Source organism: Homo sapiens, chromosome 9 (assembly GCF_000001405.40).
Source record: "Homo sapiens chromosome 9, GRCh38.p14 Primary Assembly".
NCBI classification, from domain to species: domain Eukaryota; kingdom Metazoa; phylum Chordata; class Mammalia; order Primates; family Hominidae; genus Homo; species Homo sapiens.
The window spans coordinates 40162638-40182037 of record NC_000009.12 but is presented as its reverse complement, the minus strand read 5'-3'; the positions used below and the strand labels follow the sequence as shown (position 1 = coordinate 40182037).

Below are 19400 nucleotides of genomic sequence, written 5' to 3'. Positions count from 1 at the left end.
ATCCCCAAACTCCAACTGGTCAAATGGCTACTCAGAGTCTAGTTTACCTTCTCCTGCTTCCTTTGCAGGTAGATGGGTGATATGGTTTGTCTCTGTGTCCCCACCCAAATCTCATCTTGAATTGTAATCCCCACGTGTGGAGGGAGGGAACTGGTGAGAGGTTATTGGATCATGGGGGTGGCTTCCCCCATGCTGTTCTTGTGATAGTGAGTGAGTTCTCATGAAAGCTGATGGTTTTAAAGTGTGGCACACCTCCTTGTTCTCTCACTTTTCAAGTCTTGCTACCATGTAAGACGTGCCTTGCTTCCGCTTTGCTTTCCACTATGATTGTAAGTTTCCTGAGGCTTCCCCAGCCTTGCAGAATTGCTAGTCAATTAAACCTCTTTCCTTTATAAATTACCCAGTCTCAGGTAGTTCTTTATAGCAGCGTGAAAGCAGACTGATACAGTGAGGTAGTGTGATCAAATTCAGGCCAGTGGAATGGAAGAAGGAATGTTGCATGTGAGCTTCTGGGAACCTTTCCTAAAGGAGTCTTGGTGCACACCTGTAGTCCCTTCTTCTATCCTAATGACTGATAAGGGGATGTAATGGCCAGAGTGAGAGCTGCCAAATGGGGCCACGTGGTGACCTTGGCAAAAGCAGATTAAAAAAATAGAAAGTATCTGGATTTCTGAGGACTGCACCGAGCCAGGCTGCCACACCAGTCTTGGGCTGCTTATCTGTGTTAGAGAAATAAACTTCTACTTTAAGTCGCTATTATTTTGAATGTCTGGCATTCACAGAAAACATGATCCTAATGGATATAATTATTTCTATGGGGCCAGCACATGGCTCAGACTAAGCCAATCATGATACCCTGTACTGCCACATATACCTGAACATTTGGAGAAGAAAAGGGTTAGTCTTCTTTTTAAATCTCAATCTATCGGTCTGTGGACCTCATAAATTCCTCTCCTTGAAGATCTACCTTGGAATGAAATAAATACACAAAGAGAGGAAACAACACAAAAGGAAGAGCCAGAACTCTGAGAACACTGTTTGGGCACCTGAATCTAGCTGTACCTGAAGGTGTACCAATCTACTATCTTTCCCAGTTACGTGGTAAGTGCCCACTTTTGCTTAAACTAATTTGATTGTGGTTCTGTTACCTGTAACTGAGAAAGCCTTAATTAACACCACTGTTATAGTGCATAATTGGCTCATTTGTAAAGAAAAGAAATAATGAAATTAGTTTGAAGATTAAATAAAATTATGTAATATGTAAGATTACCAAAACTGATTTGAAATGCAGACATGGGGTAGTTAACCAGGCTCACACACTTGTTATGTGAATTACTCACCCATTCTGGCTTCATAATGAGCACGATTTAAACTCAAACCTTGATAAAGTTATGATTTAGGATGTCACGTACCTTTGACGTTACTCTCAAAAGCTCTTAACCATGAATTAAAAGTGACAATGTGAAAGGCATATGTAGTTTGATTCTGAATAGAACTGGCATCTAAATCTGAGTTCTGTCAAGATCTATCAAGAATTCTGAGTGTTGGATATTATTTAGACACATAGGAAGAAAGTATGACTTCTCAGAAATGAAGTGTAATTCTGAGGCTGTGTTTAAATATATCAGGAGGAGAATTGAAACATTTGCTCTAATAAATTTGGCTAAGTCATGATGCATGATGTATATATGTGTGTATGATATATATCTACTATAGTTTTTATGCACACACAGTAAGATGCAAAATAATAAAGGCTAACTTTATTCAGCAATAATTGCATGCCAGATATGATTTTGTAGGCTTTATAAGAATTTTACAACAACCCATGGAGCATGTACCATTATTATTTCCTTTCACATAGTGTAAATTGAGGCAGAAAGAGTTATTTTACCAACAGTCAAACTAAGAAGTGGTGGACCTACAACTGAAAAGCACACAGTTTGGCTCTAGAACCAATGCTGTTAACCACCATACCACATTTGCCAAACTGGCTGTCAATCAATGCTGAAGAACAGCCCAATACCCCTGTCCATGCAAAATGAAGCAGAGAATGCAAAGCATTCAAGTAGCAAATCAGCTGCTGTTTCAGTCTGCATATCAGAAGGAAAATCATGACTTAGCTAAACGTATTAGGACAAATGTCCCAATTCTCCACTTGATATGTTTAAACATAGCCTCAGAATCACGCTTCATTTCTGGGAAGCCATATTGCCTTCCTACATGTCTAAATGCCATCCAACACGCCGAGAATTCTTGATAGATCTGAGACAAAAATAAAAACAACACTGGTGATTGAGACCTTACAAGAAGCTCACTTGACTGAAGACTCAAGCTGGGGGGTCCACTAGATAACTAAGTTGAGATCTACTTTCAATAAAGCAGCACAGCAGGAATTCTTTGATGTTTCACCAGAGACTTAAAAAGGAAGTAGGCGCACTCTGAAGTTTGCCCAGAACATTGGTCATTATGTCCTGGGCTGCCCCAAGGTAGAATTATAAAGTGAGATGAAGCTTGGAGAAGGCTTAACTCCTCCAACCTCTCTGTCACTGTTGTTCTCCCTCTCATTTTTTGCATTTGAAACTCTTCCTGCTACGGAAGCCTACTTTTAAGCAAGTAACTGGCATCAGGTTGCATAGAGAAGCAATATAAGGTGGTGGATACATGCCCATGTTCTAGGTCAGACACTGCATTTAGATCCTGATTCTACTGGTCCTCAGCTGTGTGACTGTGGGCAAGTTATTTACCTCTCTGTGCTTAGTTTTTTCCTCTAAAAATGCAAAGAAAAAGAATATTTAGTTACTTTTGGTTTGCTATAGAGTTTAAATGAGATTATACGCATAAAAATCTTAGAACAGCAGCAGGTACACAGAAAGGGCTCAAAAAATGTTGGTTAATATAGTTATATAGTTACCAGCCATTTTCATTCGAGGGTAAATTTAAGTTACTGTGTTTCTCACCCAGAGGTGTATTTGCATACCTTTTCTCTCCTTGAGATTAACCTGAGATTAACCTTCTTAACTTTATCTGTCTTTGAGATTTCTGTTTTTGTAAAAGGAATGTCCAACATGAAGAAGAAGGTGTGAGAGCTATTCCGAGGGTATAGGAGCAACAGGCCAAGGTGCGTGACATCCCCCCAAACTGGGAAGCTGTCTGCCTCATTACTTAAGGCCAGTTCAGCTTGTCCCTCTACACCAAGGACCAACCCTGCCGGCAGTTGGCCCTGTTGACTTCTCCTGGGTCTTCTCGGATCACACGTTAGCAATGTGTGCTCAGAGGATAGGAACTTGCCATCCAGCCTCAGCTGCTGGCTGGACTGTCAGATTGCCCTGGGATAGCTGCAGATTCATCTGCAGATTCATGATGGATTGAAAATGAAACTCCAGGCCAGCAGTGGCTTTCAATGGATGAATTAGGAAAGGGAATAGGACCACCTATGTTAATCCTTTTGCAGCTGCCTTGATGGAAAAAGTATTGGGTTAACATGAAATATGGAAGGCACCCATTTTTCTTCCTCAAACGACCTTCCAGCAGCCTATCTGGAATGGGTGAACCAGATCTTTTCTGGGGCTTTCAGCTTTGCTGTTAGTGCCATAAATGAGATTCAGTCAGTAAGAGGGGGACAGAGAAAGGAAGGAGCTATCTCAGCGAGTATGCCTCAGAAATGTATGCCTGCCTGCAGATGTGCTATGCACACTTGTAAACCAGTCTTTGAGACAGGTCTCAATCAACTTAGAAGTTTATTTTACCAAGGTTAAGAACATGCCTGGAATAATGGAACACACAATCACAGAGACAGCCTGTGGTCTGTGTCTTTCTGCAAAGATATTTTGAAGGTTTCAGTATTTAAAGGGGAAAAGTGGAGGCGAAAGAGGGAGGGTATGGTCACATGGCATAATCCATGCATTGCAGGAGAAAAGGAGCAGGTAGGAAAATAGTCAGTGATGTATTCATCTCAGTAAATCGGTACTTTACATAAAAGGTGAACCTAGTGTAGCTCTCTGTGGAGATATCTGGCCTTTCATCTGTTAGCTATTTGCTTAGCAATAGAAGGAAAAGGCTGTTTCTTGCATGGCTCAGCTTCCATCTTAATTTTTTCCTTTTTGCATAGTGATTGGGGGCCCGAAATTTCCTTTGCCTTTCACACACTGAAACGACGTGACTGGGATTTCCCTCCCTCCACAGTCCTACGTGGCTTTCTGACTACCCTTTCCCCTGTAAGGATCATAATATGAAAGTTAGGAGGCGGGAGTGAAAGAGATTTTTTTCATTTCTGGTTTCTGTTATCCACTATGCCTTGACCTTCGCTCTGCCCATATGATCAAATGACTTCCTGAACGTAGCCCACTGGGCGCGTCATCCGCGGGACTGACTCTGCCTCCCACGGGCTTCCTGAGGCCGGACCGCCGCGGGGACGCCTCTTCTCACGCCCACCAGGGGCGCGCGAGCCTCGGGAGACGCCAGCAGGGGTTGCGGAGCTGCGGTGCTGGAAGCCAGCTGTCACTCCAACCCAGCTGGAGATTCCTGTCGGGAATGCTTGGGATAGGACAGCTGTGAGGGAGCCCCTGGGGCATAGGAAAACCCTCACAGTTCCAGAAAAAACAGAAAACGCATGCACAGTTTTTCTCAGTTAATCAAAGTCAAATTCCTTTTCCCACAACTGCTGGGGTGCCGGCTGGCTGGCAGGATGGAAGAACCAGGATGGCACCAATCAAAATCCGAAAAAGGCAGGGTCCAAAGTCATTCCTGGGTTTTGTTGTTTAATGTCATCGGAAGTGGGCCGTGACAGCAATCTGCCCACCACTTGCCCAATCAGGTCCTCTTGCCTTTCATACTGAGAATAAAGCCATTTTTCCCCCCGGGCTCCTGGGTTTGTTCTGTTTAGGCTTCAATAGTCACCGGCATCCTTCACTTGGCTCTGCATGACAGAATAAAAACCCTGGGGTGGGAACAGGCTCATGTATCTCCTAACCATGCCACCATGTGTGCAGAGGGACCTGTCATGGACACTGGTGGCCTTTCAACTTCATTTCAAAGTTTACAGGTAAAAGGGGGAAAATGGGTGTGTATAAAATCATTTAAGAATAATCCCAGCACTTTGAGAGGCCGAAGCGGGTGGATCATGAGGTCAGGAGATCGAGACCATCCTGGCTAACACGGTGAAACCCCGTCTCTACTAAAAATACAAAAAAAAAAAAAAAAAAAAAAAAAAAATTAGCCGGGCGTGGTAGCGGGCGCCTGTAGTCCCAGCTACTCCGGAGGCTGAGGCAGGAGAATGGCGTGAACCCTGGAGGTGGAGCTTGCAGTGAGCCGAGATAGCGCCACTGCACTCCAGCCTGGGGGACAGAGTGAGACTCCGTCTCAAAAAAAAAAAAAAGAATAGACAGGACGGTTGTGTCTGAATCATAGGACACCACGACCAAGGCCCCCACGCCCACCCCAGACACATACAGATGATATTTGGAGATCAGAACTTGTGTCTGGCATAGAGCGGACTTCGGGAGTTGGCCCATCTCCCCTCTTTTCTTCTTCTGTCCACTAACAGTGGGAAACTTGGTTTCCGTCTAGAATGTGCTAGAGGATAAATAGAGCCCTCACATCCTTTATATTAATCTATAGGACATGAGGGCTCTATTTTCAGCTGTCAATGAAAATTTCAAGCCATCCTCACACAAATGTTGGAACAGGCATCTGTTTGTTCGCCAGACAACTGGTTCTGAAAACTTTACTTCAAGGACCCTTGTTTAAACCTTCTATAACGTGCTGGATCTTTGCACACGGCTTGGGAGTGCGGATGGTGTGAGGGAAGCCATCAGCCCTGCCAGCCAGTTGAGCTCAGGGGCGAGCTGCCGGCCTCCCCCATACCTGGAAGATGGAAAGGATCGTTTGCTGTTTGGAGAATAGAGCTGCATTCTGGGTGACATGCGGAAGCCTGAGAGGCAGCAGCACCACATTGCAAGAAGGCAAACAATTACTACAGAGACAGTGTTGCGGGAAGTCAGGGACCCCAAATGGAGGGACGGGCTGAAGCCATGGCAGAAGAACGTGGATTGTGAAGATTTTATGGACATTTATTAGTTCCCCAAATTAATACTTTTGTAATTTCTTATGCCTGTCTTTACTGCAATCTCTAAACATAAATTGTAAAGATTTCATGGACACTTATCACTTCCCCAATCAATACCCTTGTAATTTCCTATTCCTGTCTTTACTTTAATCTCTTAATCCTGTCAGTTGAGGAGGATGTATATCGTTCTAGGACCTTGTAATAATTGCGTTAACTACACAAATTGTACAGCATGTGTGTCTGAGCAATACGAAACGTGGGCACCCTGAAAAAAGAAGAGGATAACAGCAATTGTTCAGGGAATAAGAGAGAGAACCTTAAACTCTGACCGCCGGTGAGCCGGGCAGAACAGAGCCATATTTCTCTTCTTTCAAAAGCAAATGGGAGAAATATTGCTGAATTCTTTTTCTCAGCACGGAACGTCCCTGAGAAAGAGAATGCGCACCTAGGGGTAGGTCTCTGAACTGGCCCCCCCGGGGCGTACCTGTCTCTTATGGTCGAGATTGCAGAGGTGAAATAAACTCCAGTCTCCCATAGCGCTCCCAGGCTTATTAGGAAGAGGAAATTCCCACCTAATAAATTTTGGTCAGACCGGTTGATCTCAAAACGCTGCCTCCTGATAAGATGTTATCAATGACAATGGTGCCCGAAACTTCATTAGCAATTTTAATTTCGCCTCCATCCTGTGGTCCTGTGATCTCGCCCTGCCTCCACTTGCCTTGTGATATTCTATTACCCTGTTAAGTACTTGATGTCTGTCACCCACACCTATTCGCACACTCCCTCCCCTTTTGAAAATCCCTAATAAAAACTTGCTGGTTTTTGTGGCTTGTGGGGCATCACAGATCCTACCAATGTGTGATATCTCCCCCTGGACGCCCAGCTTTAAAATTTCTCTCTTTTGTACTCTGTCCTTTTATTTCTCAAGCCAGTCGACACTTAGGAAAATAGAAAAGAACCTATGTGATTATCGGGGCAGGTCCCCCGATAAGACAGCTCACGAGATCTCATTAGATATTTCATTGTTATAGTATGGAAAGGAAGCATATTTGTGTGCTGGTATACATGATGTGATTTTAAATCCCAAGTGATAATTTTAGAAACCAACAGAACCTAATATTAAAGCTAAACTACTGTCCTCTCGAAATGATGAGATGCTATTCCGGTTGCCCTTTTAAAAACGCTATCAAGAGGTAAGTTCCCTGTAAGTTCCACCTTCATTTTGGACACTTAAAAAATCAGTCTTTTACTGGCCTGGGTCACTGGGTTTTCTCTTTTGGATGAGGAGGGCTTATTTGACTTCACCATCACATGGCACAAAATAAACGCATTCCACCTACCTGGCATTTCTAGGACCACCTATTTCTTTTTTTCTTCAAATGATTGTGACTTCCTGCTCCATTCACCTCAATAACTCACCCACACGTCCTTTCTATACTTACTAATTACTGTAATCTTTCTCAGCTCCATGTAACTTTTTTTTTCTCTGAAGCATTCCAACATGGATCTCTTTGAAATTCTCTATACAAACCACAAAAGGCCGTGACTTCCCACAGTCTTTCTTAATTTCTGGCCTTAGCAAAAACCTGAAAACCCCACAGACATTTATTTAACCATTTCCCCATGCAAACAATAAGAAGTGGGGGAGGAGGATAGCAGACATCTGGCTTACTCAAGAGATGATGTGTTAGTCTGGACTTAGAATATTCCCAGAGAATATTCCTATAATCTGTATTAGCTTCTCATTTGTGAATATTCTAACCTCACAGACTCTGACGCATTAGGACAAAGCCCTTTGCAAGAAACTGACTTAATGGAAAGCTCTTAATGCAAGAAAGTTTAGGCTCAGGGAATGGACTTTATACACTGAGAGATGTCAGGAACACAGGGAAGCACTGGGCACCTTACGAACAAAGTAGATCGCACAACTCCATGTGCCTTCATTCTCAGGAATCTGCTACTAATAGCCTTGTAATCATTACTGATTGAGAGATGGCAACCTCAGGGCCAAATGAGGCTCCTGCATTCATAAAATTCTCAGCTTCATAACTGCTGTTCTACAATTTTGAATTCTACTGTTCATTTTAGGATTTTCCCGGGAAAGGGTAGTGGCTGGGCTAACTTGTATTGCAGTGGGCAGAAAACCAGCAAGTGTTTCTCCAATTATTTGCTTTCATAGCTTTTCTGGAATTTGGACCCAGTGCTGTGGCTTGAAAGGGTGAAACACATGCATGTATGTGGCTTGAAAGGGTGAAACACATGCATGTATGTGCACATGTGCACATGTGTGCATGTGTGTATTTGTGTGTGTTGGGGATAAGGGAACATGCCCCAGTTAACGAATGGAGCAGTGGGCCAGATCCACATCCTGTGTAACTCCCACAGGCTCCTGCTACGATGAAAGTTCCCTTCACAGGGTTGAACACAGTGATTCCCCAAGGGATCCTGGCTGAAGTGGGTGGAAGTTCAGCGTTTCTTGTCCCACTGAATTTTTGAACATGACAACCACATCCTGCTCCTGATACTGTGTGCTTTCCTTGATTGATCATGTCAAGATAGCCCTGCTAACATTGTGTTCCAAGCCTGGCTCGATTCTTCTTGATATAACTCCAGGAACCAAATCAGCCAAAGGCCTTCTTTCTCTAATTCTAATTCTAATTCAAGGGATTTCCCCCAACCCAACCTCTGTCTCCATCTTCTTAGTATCAAGCTCTGCCCAAAGTTGATCATTCCTGAAGAACAAGGCATGCATTTATAGCATAACAATGATTTCCTTTAGGGACTTTCAGTAATGCACCATTCATTTGGGACAGTGATGTGACAATTCTCAGGCAAATGTGGAAGTAGATGTCTATGTCATTTGTGAATATGTAGAAATAAAGAGTTCATTTACATCAACTGTCCCACCTCTGTCCCATACCTCTCCTTCCCCATGAAGAAAAGAGAGGCAGAAGTAGAATTTAAGTAGAATTTAAAATTAAAAATAAAAAGAAGATATTTTAAAGGGTTAAAATATTAAAAGAAAACTCCTTTGAACCTCAATAAAGAAATGGCTGTTGAATCTCAGCCTCTTTTGCCCCATCTTCCTAATGGCTGGGCCCATTTCTGTTGCCACACAGCCCACATATCCTAAGTAGCCCCACATCTCTATTTTTGTCTTATTCTCCTTTTGGGATCAGACTTTTATTTGCAATGTAGGGTTGCTGTATCCATAGCACATGGTTAACTCTAATATGGATGCAATTTTCATAAGTATTTATATTTTTTAATGAAATACATACACACGAAAAAAAGCACACATGCAGATAATTCACAAACAATCAAATCCTTGGGAAAGTCTCTGCCATTTGTTCAACAAGGTCAAGTGTCATTAGGAGCACAGAACAGCCAAATGTAAAATTTCTTTTCAGGAGCTTTCCAAGTGGTTGGAATAAACACAAGTTAGACCATGCAAAATTCTTAATGTATATTGGTCTGGGAAAGTAAAGATGGAAACAGAGAATACCTAGGGAGCTATGCAACACACCAAGGGCCATTATCCACAGTAACAATAACAGTGACAACAGCAATAATAATGTACAATGCTATAAGATTATTAAAATCTATTCTATAATGCACAGAGAAGTACCTGCTTGAAGCCATTAAATATATGACAGGGTCTGTCTTCAGTGCGATATATCAAATTTGGCAATTGAAAGGTATATAAAATATATATTTTTTGCTTTCAAAATATGGAACGAACTAAAATACAAGGCTTTTCTGATAAACTATAAAAATTTAATCAGCACTTGGATCTAATGACGTATCTTTATAATACTTCCTCTGCAGATACATTCACTTAGTTCAAACCTTAACATACAAAGTTATCCTCAGGAGAATCATGTTTCCTTCCATTCATTTCTTATAAATATTATTATCCACTTGAAGTCGTTCTGATGAAGGAATTTCCTCCCTATTTTTTCAGCCTTTTTTTTCTCCTCTTAGCTAAGAAGACATCAGGAAGACACTGCCCAAAGTATTCATTCCCCATGACTTACTTTCAGTTTCCATTTTTGAGCCATTAAAAAAAAATTCTCAATGTTGCACTATCTGAGTGATTATATTAGATCATTAACATGGAAATCTTAAAACGTGGCCCTTAATGTTGTTTGTCTATATTTGTTCCTATTTTCATCTTTCTCTTTTTCTTCTTTTTCCCTTTCTTCCTGTTTCCCTCCCTTCTTTCCTTCCTTTCTTCCTTCCTTCCTTCTTAGAATTCACTGAAGTATTTCCTAGGTTGTCTTTTACTTACTACTTTAATCAAAGCTTATCTTTGTGCCCAATTTGTAGGAAGTGAAAATGTCTCTTTGAAATTCTATATTACATAGACAGAGAAGTTGGGCCTTCGAGGGCTTGAGTTTCACTTAAATACTATACACATGTGGTATCACACAAGGGGGAGGGGGAGGGAACAAACATAAACATAACAATTATTTTCAGTCTGTCTTTACAAAAGAAAGCCTCTTCTCTATGAAAGTCTTTTTGACATCTGCTCCTGGAAACCTGCCCCAAGAACACATTCTCCATTGCTTTGCAAGGATCTCTTTTTAAAAGCACATCCATCCACTGTCCCCAGGAGGTCACGTATGTTGGATTATCCTGTTCTTAGTTGAGCAACGAATAAGCACTGGATGAGTTTTCCAGGGATAAGCTGGTTGCTTCTGGGGTGGAAACATTATATGTTCCTGAAAAACAGAGCAGCAACTCAGCCTTGAAGACAAGCCATCATGAACTTTGGGGTGTGAACATCTCCTAAGGGACCCAGGGGAGCAGTGGTCTAGGCACTAGGTAAACTCGGCCATGCCTGGAAACCAACCCATACCTGCCCTCTTCCCAAGAGCTAGAAATGCCAGAGAACTAACAGAGTTGTCGTTCTCATGCATGTGTGGCAGCCAACAAGCAGTCACTACTTCACATCATACCAGCAGCCAGGTTTCTACAAAGGACGGGAAGATGTCAAGGTGGGAAGCCCTCCATATGCCATCACGTGCATGGTCTGGGAACATCTGCATGAGGGAATCTCCCTGGTCCTCTTGGGTTGTGGTGACTTACAGAAGCTCTTGGGAGGCACCTGGAGGCTCTACTGAAAGTGGAGGTTTGTAAAGAGAGTAAAGGGAAAGAAAAGAGAAAATTATAGGGAGAGAAAAGGCAGGACCAGAAAAGAAGCAGGAGTCAGGAACGTCAACAGAACTGCTGAGAATCAGTGCAGCAAGGAAGGCAGCCTCTGAGCAACTGCACAGGCTTGTGTCTGCGGGGAGGTGGGGACTGTGCACAGGGAGTGCGTGGAGAGTGTGTGTCGGGCAAGAAAAGGGTTGAAGTGCCCACCCTACCATCAAATTGCTGAACCGCCACCACCGCTAACAAAGTTTCCGTCATGGCCTGGGGGGATCTTAGGGGCTGCTGACAACATAAACCAAAGTTACGGTACTTATGGGGCCCCCAAACATGCCCAATTGGGACTTTCATAATCAGAAGTGAAGGTCCCCCAGTTTCATGGGTAATTCATCAAATTGAAGCAGAAAAGAACCCAAGTCCTCTGGAGTTTTAACAGTTATAGGCATTCACAAAATTTGCTTGTATATGAAAAGCCTTAATGTGGAACATTGATACATTTCTCAACTCTGCATTTGTGAGATCTGTTGAGTTTCAAAAAGCTAGAAGAAATCCTGGGGCTTATTTTCCTGTGGGGGAGGGATGGTGGCATGGGACAGGGGTTTCAATTTGCTAGAATAGCTGAGATCTGTTGCCCAAAGTTATTAATTCCATTCATTTCAAATCTCCAAGGTAGAAATTTAACTGTGAATATTTCTAATAGAATAGCTAACTAGGGTGATCCCTTATGTAATGCATGCACACTTCTATGTGCTTCCATGTGTAACACAAGCACACTTTATAAAAAGAACACAAAAGGAAAACAAACCTAAATAGTGAGATCCTGTAGTAAGATTTTCTAACTGTATTCTTTGCTGCCCCGTAACCCTGAAACATCACCTATCTACTCTTATTTGACATAATTTGAGAAGAACTCTGTGTTTGACAAGGCCAGCAATTTACAGTTCTCATTTTGATGGATGATAGTTTGACAGACAGCTCTCCAAATCATTGTCTAGATTCTCCAAATCTTATTCTTTATGAGTTATTATAAGTTCCCAACAAAGGCAGCTGCCCTCTGTACCCACTTTTTGGTGATTTGTGAAAATGTAAGTTCCTCTATTTAACCTCTACCCCAAAAGAGGACATTTTAGGTAAATGCCATGATTGGGGTGAAAGAGTAGGGGTGTTGAGGCTCCCCATTTGACCAAATGTGTTCTGGGCAAGCAGGGAGAACATAGAGGCCACTACTCACCTGTTTTACCAAACAAACTGTTAAATCTCCTTGATATTGGAGAACTCATAGAAAACACAGGTGTGGATGAACCCAGGGATGTTGACTAGAAGAGAGAAAAAAAGGGAAAATCACAAAGCAAATTTGTGGGACCAAAGCTGTTTACATCCCTAGAAGGATTGATTTTCCACCCTCTAGTGGTCACTGCCGGCATCTCTAGTCCCACTCCCAGAGGTCACATTAAAATACTGGAATCTTGTCATCTGTATTAGAAAAATAACTGTCAAATACAAGTTTTATTGTTTGTTAGGCTTCTAGTATTTTCTGACATGTGAAAGGCAGTCAGATATATCCAAGGGCAATAGTTATGTTCCACAATGAACTATAGAAAATTTTATCCATTATTATTCTTCAACTTGTTTTCTCTAATGCCTTGAATCCCCCCAGAAGACTGCTTCTCATTGAACATTTGATTTCAACCTTCAGTTTATATCATATATTATTTTAAACCCTATTTAAATATGTGGAGTAGCATCTCAATGACAGCTCTATGGCTCTGTTTAATAGGCAGAATGACTTGAGAAGCAAAAACAATGGAATGATCTATGCCAAATATAGCTGTTGAGGGAGATGGGTTTGAGGATGCAATATATTTAGCCTAATTAATCAAAATCCTGAAGAAAAAATTTAGTACTCTGTACTTCAGAATGCTAGTGGAATACATGAGGTTATAAAACGAAAAGTATCTGCAGAGAAAAGGTTTACCTTTGAGTGTGGTGAAGACCATCTCGACAATGAAAACTTATTCAGCAAAGCTTCCTGTACCTGCATTGTTAAAAAGAAGCTATCGTAACTTCAACATGCCAGAAGCACTTCACGCTTTTCTAGAAACATGAAACTGTCATTGCTCTTACCTTCAGATCCTAGAGGCATCCAAAGAGTAAACTGAATAATCCCTGAGAAAAAAAGATTAAAAAGAAGTGCATTTTAATTATAGTCTATTGTCCAGCAAAAGAGAAAGTACTATTAACCTGGTGTTAAATTTGTACTACTTCTTTTTCTATCTGAGTTTATGGAATGAGTCCAGTACATGATACTGTTCAATGAGAGGCAGTTGGTCCACACCAAGGGACTCTAAATGTTATGATGTTAGGAGGATATTTTCTATTTTCCCATTTTCCTTTGGTTGAGAACTGGAGGTCCTGTTGGTTATGCTATTTATACACCTCTTGTGTCTACAATATTCCTCACATAGTTGTGATGAGAATCTTGGCTATGGGGTGGGATAACTAGTTCCTTCCAAATGAGGCATATCATGAAGGTCATTACATATGAACTTTATAACTTGGAGACACAGGCCCAGTAACAGAAATTAAGGTTCATATGTTCTTGGCACAAGCATCCTGAAAGCAGTATCTCAAGTGCACCTCCAGCCTCTGCCTCTTCACAAGCTCACAGTGGCCTCAATCCTTGGGCAGGTTTTTTCCTGTATTATCACCTCTCCATTGGGTGAAACAGAATTAATCACTTCCTTCTTTGTGGTTTAAAGGCTTGCTATCTATACCTCTGTTATATTTCTTCTAACAAACTGGTCTGCATTGTAATTAGTTACGTGCTGCAGGAGAGCAAAGAAGATGTTTTTTGCATTGTAGTACAATCAAGCAGATTGTCTGGCATTCACAGGACATTCGTTCTTTGATTTTTGATGTTTCCAGAGAAGCTGCTATGTGGTACATAGGATTTATTTCATTCAAATGATTATTGAGAACCTACTCTGTACCAAGGTCTCTATCAGGCATAGAGGTATAGTGATGAACAAGAAAAGGGCAATCCCTGTCCTCACAAAGACAGGATTTTCATTTAGGAGATAATAGACTGCATCAAGATAATCTTAGACAAATGGGGATTTTCCTTTTACTGGTGTAATCAGGGTATTTAGCAGAGACTGGGAAATGGCACTAAATTATAATGTAGGTGATAAAAAGCATGAGGTTCCATAGGATCAGAAGAATGTGTTCTTTCCATCTCATTGAATTCTCATTATTACTGCTCTTTAGAGCTGAGGCTTCCTCTGGGCTGAAATCCTTCCCCATTCCTACTCTTGTTTGTGTTTCTATCATTAATTTGTCCTACAGGAATAAAATCTTCCTGAAAGTCCTGCACTGCAAAACTCACCTGGAAGACATTGAGGATGGCAAATACGATATGGAACACAAGGAACACTACTGTCTGCTGTCACTGGTTAATCACTAGATGCCAAGAGCTTACTGAACAAAAGCTTGGCAATCAGAATAAATGGGGAAGGAAGGACCTTATGAATTGTCTACTTAGCCTAAGAAACGGCAGGTTTAGTTCTTCTCTTCCAAAAGATACAGGTATATCACTGGAATTGTACTTAAAATTTATAGATGACTAGCAAATATATACTTTATATGTACTTAACATTTAGATCAATCTTATTTAATACTTGGAGGTTAGAAGAAGCATCTTTAGGGGAACTATATAATATTCTGTTAGCATTTTCTCTGCATTTTAAAAAATCATTTCATCTCAAACACTTATCAGCGTCATGAAATCAGTAATGACTCTTAAACAATTCAACATAAAGGTTTGAACTCTGCACTAGATGTCTCTTTAATTTTTTAATATTTAAAATTTAGTTCAGGCTTTTCTCACCAGGTGCCTTTAGTGGTGACTAAGATAACTGACTTCTCAATTGTTTCTCTGAAAAAAGTGTTGCTGTGGGAATAATTTTAATGTTCAATGTGATATCATGGTGGAGTTTTGTCTTTTAAAACATTAGAAGCATTTTAAATACTAAGAATCAAATATTTATAGATCAAACACTTGTGTTTTAAGTATTATACGGGACCTGTTTACATATAGTAAATGTGTATGTATACATGAGTTGTTGCTGAAGCCGACAAGCATATTACATACATGCATTTTCCCTGTGCCATCATAGTTGCAGTTAGAGTTCTAGTACCTGTAGGCTCGCCTGGGAGGCAGATTAGACCCAAAGGTAGACATTTTTCCCTTTCCCTGAAGCATGATGGTGGTAGTTGATTCTTTGATTTCCTTAGTACCAAACTTTAAGGCTTTTGTAAAAACAAAACGAAAAAACTAGGAGCTTGGAACATTTAAAAATTAACGCTGCTACCATCAATTCATCAAATATTTACTTAGAACCTTCATACATTAAGATTCTGGTAACCAATAAATTAGAATTTATTTCTTCTGCATAAAGTAAATTTTCATACACTCGACCTACTGAGACAGCAAAGGTGTCCTAATTTGAGGCATTTGTGTAATGCCTACATAACTAAATGGTAACTAAAATGGGACAGCATGGGGCAAGACCTTGTAGTTCTTCACAGACTATTTGTCATCAGTTTCTCCAATTAATTTGCTGCATGAGCCAAATAACCATAATTCACCTTTTGTACCCACTGGAGCCATAATTAGAGAATCAGAGGGTGTAGACAGAGGTTAATGCCAATGACAAACACAGGGCAGGATTTATTATTATTATAAAGATCATTACATACAAAAGATTTTTTTTTTAAATTCCTAATTCTAACAAAGGGGATCAACCAGAAATGAAACTAAGCTACTTTCTGAAGTGACACTGTGTCAGAATAATCCAGATTTGAATATAACATTTTGCCACCCACTGACATTTAGATGAAGGACTGCCTCTCCGGAAGAGTTCAGAACATATTCAGGGGTGAACCTAACACCAGGGAAGAAAGACTACTGATGAAAATATTTTTCCACTTTGAACAAATCTGTAAACTACAGATTTTCTTTATAGAAAAATGCTTGGAATAGTCACTGTAATATTTAGCTGTGGATAAAAATTTGTGAAAATAAATACTTTTGAATTAGAAAAAGCAAGGAAGAAGAATGGGGTTGATAGGATGTATATTTAAAATAGATTAACCAGGAACAACTGCACTGTGTTTTATATATGTGTGATAACATATGTATAATTATATATCACTATATATAATAACTATATCTTTATATCTGGTGCAGATGAGTAAATAACCCATGCAAATATCTGGGGAAGGAATAGTCCAGGCACTACAGGAATATCAAAAAGGCCAATATGACACAAGCAGAGTAATGACAGAGTGATATGGAGTGAGGAGCAGATGAAATAATAAGAAAAGTAGGCAGGTCGTTTTGAGGGGTATGTGTCTCAAATTCTAATTTGCATATAAATCACCAAGGTTTCACATTAAAATAAAGATTCTGATTCAGGTGGTCTGGAGAGTTTATATTTCTTACAAGTTTCAGGGGATGCTGGTGCTACTGGTCTGTGTATCACACTTTGAATACCAAAGGACTGGAGATGCGTGCATGGTAAGGAGCTTTGGGATGTGAGTAATGTGGGTTGAATTGTGTCTTCCCCAAAAAGATGTTCAAATCCCAACTCTCAGTACTTGTAAATATGACATTACTTGGAAATAAAATCTTGCCTAGTCAATCAAGTTAAGTGGATTCAGATGGGCCCTTATCAAATGACTAGTGTGCTTGTAAGAACGTGGATATTTAGAAAAACACACAGTGGATAAAGTATGGGAAGATGAAGGAAGAGAATGGAGTCATGTAACTACAAGCCAGAGAATGCCAAGGATTGATGGCAACTGTGAGAAGCTAGGAAAAGACAAGGAAGGATCCTCCCCTGGAGCCTTCAGAGACCCTGAGACTGATGACACCTTACTTTCAACTCCTAGCCTCCAGAACTGTGAGAGAATAAATTTCTGTACTTTTAACCTACTCAGTTGGTGGTAATTTGTTGCAGTAGCCTGAGGAAACTAATACCTTGAGTGGGATGGAGAGTGAAGTCATTGGAGGGTTTTAAGAGAAGAATGGCTCGGTCTGACTTATTCTTAAAGAATCACCCTAATTGCAGAAACAAGAATAGACTGAAGGCAAGGGGCTACAGGGAAGTAGGAAGACCAGTTAGGCGGCTATAGCAGTAAACCTAACTGGAGAGTGGAGAGATGGTGGTTTGAATCAGGGGGGTAGTGATGGTGGTGAGACAGGAACAGAATCTGAAGATGTTTTGAATTACTATTGATAAAATTTGTTAACATAGTATGAGCTATAAAAAAATGAGGGTGGCTGGGAATGGTGGCTTACTCCTGTAATCACAGCACTTAGGGAGGCTGAGATGGGTGGACTACCTGAGGTCAGGAGTTTGAGACCAGCCTGGCCAACATGGTGAAACCCTGTCTCTACTAAAAATACAAACATTAGCCGGGCATGTTGGCGGGTGCCTGTAATCCCAGCTCCTCAGGAAGCTGAGGCAAGGGAATCACTTGAACCCAGGAGGTGGTGGTTGCAGTGAGCCAAGATCATGCCATTGCACTCCAACCTGGATGACAAGAGTGAAACTCCATGTCAAAAAAAACGTAGAATGATTTATAATACTTTGGGTAGAAACCTAGTAATGGGATTGCTGGGTCAAATGGTATTTCTGGTTCTAGAATCTTGAGAAATCACCACATTGCCTTTCACAACAGTTGAACTAACTTACACTCCCATCAACAGTGTAAAAGCATTCCTATTTCTCCATATCCTCTCCAGTGTCTATTGTTTCCTGACTTTTTAGTGGTCGCCATTCTAACTGGCTTGGGATGGTATCTCACTGTGGTTTTGATTTGCATTTCTCTAATGACCAGTGATGTGGGAGATCGGTCAGGGTGGTGGGAGAAGCTATAAGGAAAGACGCAAGCCTTCTTGAAAGGTTGGAAGGTCTTGCAAAAGCTTCATGAGAGAATAAAGGTGAAGGAAGAAAATTCTCTTTCTCTGAGGCTAAGGGTGAGAAGTAGGTGCAAGGAAAAGTGAAGAAGTTTATCTAAATATGCTTGTTTACTTATGTCATCAGGAAACTGACTTTTGAACTTCTGAGCATGAGACTGCTCCCTGTAAGAGGGAGCAAAAATGTTAATTACCCAGCAATTGTGTTGACTCCAGGCCTTGGACGTTATACCAGTACTGAATAAATACAAGCAGCTCTGGCTTATCGAGACTGCTAACTCTCCTCTGCCCCTAGGGCTCGCAGCCTCCTAGCCTGCTCTTACCCTGTATATTTGTGTCTGAGTACTCCTTTCTTCTGTTGCTCAGCCAGGGTCTGCGGGATGGACCCGGCACAGTGATGATGAGCTTTTTTTCATGTTTGTTGGCCGCATAAATTTCTTCTTTTGAGAAGTGTCTGTTCACATCCTTTGCCCACTTTTTGATGGGGTTGGCACAAGCACATGTATGTTTACTGCAGCACTATTCACAATAGCAAAGACTTGGAACCAACCCAAATGCCCATCAATGATAGCAGCCTGGATAAAGAAAATGTGGCACATATATACCATGGAATATTATGCAGCCATAAAAAAGAATGTGTTCATGTCCTTTGCAGGGACATAGGTGAAGCTGGAAACCACAGTCTCAGCAAACTAACACAGGAACAGAAAACCAAACACTGCATATTCTCACTCATAAGTGGGAGTTGAACAATAAGAACACATGGATACAGGGAGGGGAATATTACACACAAGGGCCTGTCAGGGGGTGGGGGGTAAGGGAGGGATAGCATTAGCAGAAATACCTAATGTAGATGACAGGTTGATAGGTGCAGCAAACCACCATGGCACATGTATACCTATGTAACAAACCTGCATGTTCTGCACCTGTATCACAAAACTTAAAGTATAATTAAAGAAAAAAATAGGGCTGCCAAGGGTATAAACAGGGTGTTTCGTGGCTTAATAACTGTATAACTATAAGGATGGAGTCTATTACCTCCTGATATGAGGAACATGATGAGAGAAGGTGAGAATGGGGAAGATGCTGGGTAAGTGGGGAGAATAGTAGGAGATTAAGAGCTCTTTTTGAGGTATGTTCGCTTTGAGATGCCTATTTTGCCTGCAAGTGGAGATAGTAATTAGGCTACTTGGCATAAGT

General features: G+C 41.0%; 1 long non-coding RNA gene across 1 annotated transcript, besides 2 other annotated features; it reads right to left on the bottom strand.

Moving 5' to 3' along the window:
* Positions 4293–4587: a silencer, noted in NCBI's record as "tiled region #3636; HepG2 Repressive DNase matched - State 12:CtcfO, and K562 Repressive non-DNase unmatched - State 8:EnhW". NCBI's record gives its function as "represses a minimal TATA promoter and a strong SV40 promoter by Sharpr-MPRA in HepG2 and K562 cells {active_cell/tissue: HepG2 | K562}" and the evidence as "EXISTENCE:reporter gene assay evidence [ECO:0000049][PMID:27701403]".
* Positions 6347–7023: an enhancer, noted in NCBI's record as "OCT4-NANOG hESC enhancer chr9:42320033-42320709 (GRCh37/hg19 assembly coordinates)". NCBI's record gives its function as "activates a minimal SCP1, AML or CMV promoter by ChIP-STARR-seq in naive and primed H9 embryonic stem cells {active_cell/tissue: H9 hESC(naive and primed)}" and the evidence as "EXISTENCE:reporter gene assay evidence [ECO:0000049][PMID:30033119]".
* On the bottom strand, positions 13202–14632 carry LOC112268033 (uncharacterized). The gene is made up of 3 exons (XR_002956835.1): positions 14604–14632; positions 13343–13384; positions 13202–13253 (listed from the first exon to the last, which is right to left on the bottom strand). It is a non-coding gene; the product is annotated as an uncharacterized LOC112268033 (long non-coding RNA).
* Positions 14633–19400: the final 4768 nt, after the last annotated feature.